The following is a 6,823-nucleotide window of genomic DNA, read 5'->3' on the forward strand; positions in this document are numbered from 1 at the left end:
TCCCAAATTCTGCTGCTTTTAAAAAATCAGGGCCGGGCGTGGTGTCTCATGCCTGTAATCCCAGCACTTTGGGAGGCCGAGGTGGGCGGATCACGAGGTCAGGAGATCAAGACTATCCTGGCTAACATGGTGAAAACCCATCTCTGCTAAAAATACAAAAAAAAAGTAGCCGGGCGTGGTGGCAGGTGCCTGTAGTCCCAGCTACTCGGGAGGCTGAGGCAGGAGAATCACTTGAACCTGGGAGGCAGAGGTTGCAGTGAGCCAAGATCGTGCCACTGCACTCCAGCCTGGGTGACAGAGGGAGACTCTGTCTCGGGAAATAAATAAATAAATAAATAAATAAATAAAAATCAGATGCTGAATCTACTCCTCAGGCATGAGTTGGTTAGAGTTCACTGGAATCTTTCCCTTTTGACTGGGACCTTGAGTGTCCCACAGTCTCCACCGTCCCCTACTGTTTACACCTGGAAGATTTCACTCATTCCTGTTATCTGTTGGTCTCTGTCATGGCTGAGTTTGAGAGCCTGGCTGTTCAGTGATTCGTGTCCATCCTGCGGTGTTCTCCCTCTGCCTGCTTCTCAGATTCCTCACTCACTCCTTCCAGGTTTCCCTCACGGTTGCATGCTCTCTCTTCCCGTCCTCCTCTGACTCCTGAATGGCCCTGTTCTCACATACACTTTGCTTTACACTGCTTGGCTGTACAGCTTGAAGTAATATCTGCATTTTTTTTTTCCTGAATAAATTTGAAGGCAAGGAACAGGTGTTTAAGAATCTGCTGATCGAGCGCGGTGGCTCATGCCTGTAATCCCAGCACTTTGGAAGGCTGAGGCGGGCGGATCACTTGAGGTCAAGAGTTCAAGACCAGCCTGGCCAACATGGTGAAACCCCGTCTCTACTAAAAATACAAAAATTAGCTGGGCCTGGTGGCAGGTGCCTGTAATACTAGCTACTCGGGAGGTTGAGCTGCAAGAATCACCTGAACCTGGGAGGCAGAGGTTGCAGTGAGCTGAAATCTTGCCATTGCACTCCAGCCCGGGTGACAGAGCGAGACTCCATCTCAAAAAAAAAAAAAAAAAAAAAAAAGATTCCGCCATGACTTCCTTTTGTGGTCTTGGGCAAATTCATTAACTCCCCATGATTTGCATTTTCTTTTGTGTATAATTAGAACAATAATTCACATAGCTAGCATGAGGAGAAAAATGAATTTATTGGGAAAGAGCTTTGAGAAATGGCAAGTGTTATGCAAGCACCAGAGGTTCGATAATAATAATAATACGAGCAACTGACACTGAAAGCTCACCATATGCTCGGTGTTTTCCCTGGGTTGTCAGTTCTGTTATCACACAACATGGCACTTCCTAAACATACACCATGGGAGATGGTGCAACCACAGGGCTTATGGCAAACAATGGGGTTAGGGACGTAACACTCAAACACTTTGTCAGTGACGTAAAAATAAAAAGACAGGAACTTGATAACAATTTTACACGTGTTAAATGATTGAGAAATACATAAGGGCTACAATAAAGGCAGTTTAGCTTTAATAAGATGGGAAGTTTGCTTGTGGAATCGGTTGTTGGCAGGTTGTGAAGCGGTGGAAAGAGAGCTTTTCTGAAATTGGATGGACAGTAACAGCAGAGGTGGATGGGTATGGCCCCCGGCACATGGTGTATTGAGGCAGCTGGCAGATGTTGGAGGTGTATGTGTATTTTGTGTGTCCCTGTGCAGCTTGATTTAGCTGGCTGCCGGTTTTGGCACTCACCTAATATTTCTCATGGATGAGGAGCGTAAGCTAAAGGGCAACTTCCATGATACTCCGATTGTTTCCTATTATATCAACTACATTGGACTCCATTTCCATTTTCAACACAACTGCCGTAGCAGAACTCACTTTTTTTTTTTTTTTTTGAGATGGAGTCTCACTCTGTCGCCCAGGCTGGAGTGCAGTGGCACAATCTCAGCTCACTGCAACCTCTGCCTCCCAGGTTCAAGCAATTCTCCTGCCTCAGCCTCCCCGGTAGCTGGGACTACAGGCATGTGCCACCACGCCCAGCTAATTTTTTGTATTTTTAGTAGAGACGGGGTTTTACCAAGTTGGCCAGGCTGGTCTCGAACTCCTGACCTCAGGTAATCCGCCTGCCTCGGCCTCCCAAAGCACTGGGATGACAGGTGTGAGCCACTGCCCCAGCCCAGAACTCACAATGATCATCTAATTTAGTCATCTGAAAAGCCCACGAAGGCATGTATTATTCCCGTTTCACTTAAGGGATCAGTTTCAAATTTCAGTTTGGGATCCAAATCTCATATGCTGAGCTCAATATGAAAGGAAGTTCCAGACTTGGAAGGTTCTAGATGCACAGAAATGTATCAGGAAAAGTGCATCCTGGCTCTCTCTGGTTTCCCTGCCCAGCTTGGAGCCCCTGTCCTGGAACCCATGTGTCCAGCATCCCACGCTTCTGCCATCATGCTGTGCCAAGTGGTGCCTGTCTGAGCCCACGGTTACAGATGTCTTATTTCTCGGGTGTTAGATTCCACCTGTTGAGTCCCCTTGGCTGCAAGTCAAGCTTCATCTTTCACACAAACTCTCTGTGCCCATCTGTACCTCACGGTTCGGCTGCTTCCTGGGTTCAACCCTTCCTCCCAGAAAATGTGAGGTTACCTATATCTGGACACTTTGTGGAGGTGGAACATGTCCTGTCTCTGTGGGAAATGTAGGAGGCATGGAAGTCATCAGCTATGCTGGTCGGTATTGTCCCTCCAAGCCTGCAGGCTCTCCTAGGGTTCTGAAAGCTCCCTGATCGGTCTAGGTGTCTGTGGTCAGGTGTTCTTTCTCCCGAGGTGGGCACGCCTCCAGGTTGGGGCTCAGTTTTAGGACTCTTAAAATCTGTTTTTTCCACTCAGCGTCTAACAGCTTGTAGCAGTCACTGGACATTTTGGGGGTGGGGGTGGGGGTGGGGGCACTGTTTTGCCTGCTCCGTGGGGGAAAAGCTTTCATGAGGAGTCTGGTCAGCCCGCGCTCAGATTTTCCCTCAGTCTCGTTTTTGGAGTGCTCCCTGTGTCCAGCCATGCCCTCTCCCACATGCGCTCTGACCAACCTTCGGTGTCCCCTGGTTCTATTCTAACAACAACATTGCGGTCCAGTTCCCTAAGCTTGCAGTGATCCTCAGTTAATACAACAGTTATTACAACAGTCTCTTGTGTGTTCAGACGCAGCCCTGTTTGTGGTAAACTTCACATTCCACGCAAAGCCCTTCTCACCCATTTCCTGGGGTGGGCAAGCCTGGTGGGTACAGATCTTGGCTTGGGACGTGGCAAAGACGCCCTCCTTGACCGTACTTCAGTCAGGATCCTCTGGCCGTCTCTTCAATGAGGCCTCACACTCGACCTGTCCTTGGTTTGCCAAGGCAGTTTTAGCAAAGAATCTTATAAACCAGTGTGAATATCGCCCTGCCCTTGATATTTGATCAAGTTGCTCGTCCCCCACCCTTGATACCTAGGCTCCTCTTAGTAATTTCCCATCTAAGGAAACTCCTCACTCTGCCCATCGGCTATAAATCTGCAACTGTCCCTGACGTGTCAAAGTTGAGTTCAGTCTTTGTCCCCTTTGCAGTAGTCTTGAGTAAAATCTTCCTTGCCTATTTAACTCTGTCTGGTGTGATTTTTCTTTGACAAATGGCTGGTCAGTTCTCACACCAGTGCCCCTCTTTGTCCTGGTGTGGTAGGGTGGGGTGCAGAAGGGCCAAAGGGGCATCTCATTTTGATACTGCCCCAGGGGAGAGCGCTGGTGAGTCTGGGGAGTCTGAGAAGCAGACACCAAGACAGCGTCAACAAATTATTAGGAGAAGGGCCTGTGAGTGAAAACGGAGGAGGTGGGATATGGAGGAGGCTGGAAAAGCTGTCAGGCTGTGATGCAGGTCTGACCCTGCACGGAGGAGAGATGGGAGTGAGGGAGGTTGCGTGAAGGCCTCTTAGATGGGGTGCAGTTCTAAGGAAAGTTCAGGGCTGGGCACGGTGGCTCACGCCTGTAATCCCAGCACTTTGGGAGGCCGAGACGGGTGGATCACAAGGTCAAGAGTTCAAGACCAGCATGGCCAAGATGGTGAAACCCCGTCTCTACTAAAAATACAAAAATTAGCTGGGCGTGGTGGCGGGAGCCTGTAATCCCAGCTACTCGGGAGGCTGAGGCAGAGAATTGCTTGAACCCAGGAGGTGGAGGTTGCAGTGAGCCGAGATCGCACCACTGCACTCCAGCCTGGGTGACAGAGCGAGACTCTATCTCAGAAAAGAAAAAAAAAAAAAAAAAAAAAAAAGGATGAGTTGATGAGTGACTCCATCGAGTGAAATAATAACACAAAGCAGCTCATATCAAAGGACTAATAAAAACAAACTGCAACATAACCAGCTCCACATAAAAATGTACAAATGAATGATCATACACACACCAGTGAGGCTGTACTAGGAAAGGCACAGACACTTCATAAGAAAGATGGTAGAACGCTTGCTCAAATTATTGGGTCAAATGAATTTTATGGATCCTCCTGCAAGACATTCCATTAAAAAATTAAATATTAGACCAGCAAGGAAGTCTTTATGGCCTTGTTCTAAAATGCCGATTGTTGGGTTTTATAAGAACTTATCACTAGTAAGAAATATGAGGAAAAATCCAGGGAATATGGACAATGGGGTCCAGATAAAATCCAACTATGCCACTGAAAGTGCAATAGTGAATATAATGGAAACGATTTTACCTTTTTTAGTTACAGAATTTTCCACTAAGAAAGAGAGTTTCTAAAACTAGGAAGGATAAAACTCTAGCAGAGACAAACAACTGTAACCTACTACAAGGACTCAGCAATGTTAATGTTATCTGAGATTTTAATTTAGTGACATTTTATTGCCAGCTAGTATTAACTACGATGACTTTGTTGCAGGGGTTGAACCCAGTTCAAACTACTTTAAGCCAAAAAGGGGAGCATTTGTTAAAAAGATACAGGAGTGTCTCCTGGAATCAAAGGACAGGGATGCATCTGTGCCACATGAAGGACAGCAAAGGTTGTCAGCCCTCAGGCAGTCTCTTGCCTCTGCTTTCTGTTTTTTTTTTTTTTGGCTTCTGCTTTTTTCTCTGTGCTTCTCTGTATTTATTTTCTTTCTATTGGGTTGTTGGCATTGTCTTTATGGATTTGGGATGACTTTTTGTGTAGCTTTATTCTTTCCTTGAGGACCAGCTGAGCTGATCTCAGCACCAGATTTTCCCTTCACTGTCTGGACTGTGAAAATGGATCTGGGCCCTTCAATATGTTTCCTTTGTCAGCGGCACCGTGTTGCGCTTTGTCAGTAGAGGGCGCCAGAGAGACACTGCAGGAGGGACAGAGTTTTATCTCCCGGTTCTCCCGTGCTTGCTTGGCAACCTCTTAATTCCCACTTGGCTCTTGTAGCACATGCTGCATCTGGGGGTCTGGTTCCTGCAGGGTGGGCACCTCTGCCAGCACCAGGTTCTTTCAGGGCACACAGCCTTTCCAGCACCCCTCCCCTGCCCATCCCCAGCCTCTCCAGTGCCCACCCCCTGCAGGGCATGACACACAGCCGCGCCCCGTGGCTAGCTGCTTCTCCTGCCAGCAACTCCTTCCTGTCTGCTGGTCCCCACCACAGTGCCCCAGTGGTCTTGCAGCACAGTACCTCCAGTGAGACACCTCCCCATGAACAGAGGGTGGATTTTCAGTATGCTTTACTGGTGTGGCACCACAGCGACTTTTCCATCCAGTGACCCAAGGCCATCCAGGGCTGGATCGTAGCATAGTCCTGGCGGTGGGGGCGGGCAGCTCTTCCTTGGATGCTCTATCTTACCCTTAGGGGTGGAGGCTGCTCCTTATTTCCGCTATTCCTGTATCTGTTAGAGTTGTCTTCGCTTATTAGTAGCCAATCCCTCAGTACTCCAATCCCCTGCTAAAGAATTCTTTATATGAAACCTTCCTATGCAAGTTACTGTGTGGCTTCTCTCTCCTGATTGGACCCAGACTAACAGAGCAGCTTTCTCAGTTTCTCTGGGGAGAACCTTTCTGTATCACATGAATCCACATCTCCCTCATTTAAGAGGGAGTCCAGGGCTAGTGTCTGGTTCTATTCCAGAGTCCCATGAGGGAGACTCTGATCAGCCCAAGAGGGTCAGGTGATGACCTCCTACTCTGATCAACTCCACCCAGTGGGCTGGACTTGTGGGTGCCACAGATAGCCCTGTGGGTGATGGGGGGCTGTTAAAGGGTTCTTGTGAGCTGGCACGTTCCCAATGGGTGTCTACTACAGAACCCTGTTTATTAAAGACAAAAGTGGTGTATGGAAACCTGGGTTATGCTGATAACCTAAAATACCTGACCATTTCATGAACATGGGAAGAGTAGCAGTGACGCGAAAGTAAAACCGACATTGCAAAAGCTTCTACTGACTTTTGTTTCCTGCTGACTTTTAAAACAACATTTATACAATTTTGTCAGTTGTACCTCAATAAAACCGAAAAAAAAATTAAATGGTACAGCACAAGAACTTATAAGAACATTTTTCTATGCACCAGAGCATTTTGGTTGAAATTTTTTTTTTTTAAATTTCAATAGCTTCTGGGGTACAAGTGGATTTTGGTTACATGGATGAACGGCATAGTCATGAAGTCTGAGAGTTTAGTGCATCCATCACCCAGGTAGCGTACATTGTACCAAATATGTAGTATTTTCTCCCTCACCCCCTCTCACCCTCCCACTTCTTAGTCTACATAGCTCGTTATACCACTCTGTATGCTTTTGCGTACCCATAGCTTAGCTCCCACTTATAAGTG

This window comes from Homo sapiens, chromosome 17, assembly GCF_000001405.40.
Source record: "Homo sapiens chromosome 17, GRCh38.p14 Primary Assembly".
In the NCBI taxonomy this organism is placed as follows: Eukaryota; Metazoa; Chordata; class Mammalia; order Primates; family Hominidae; genus Homo; species Homo sapiens.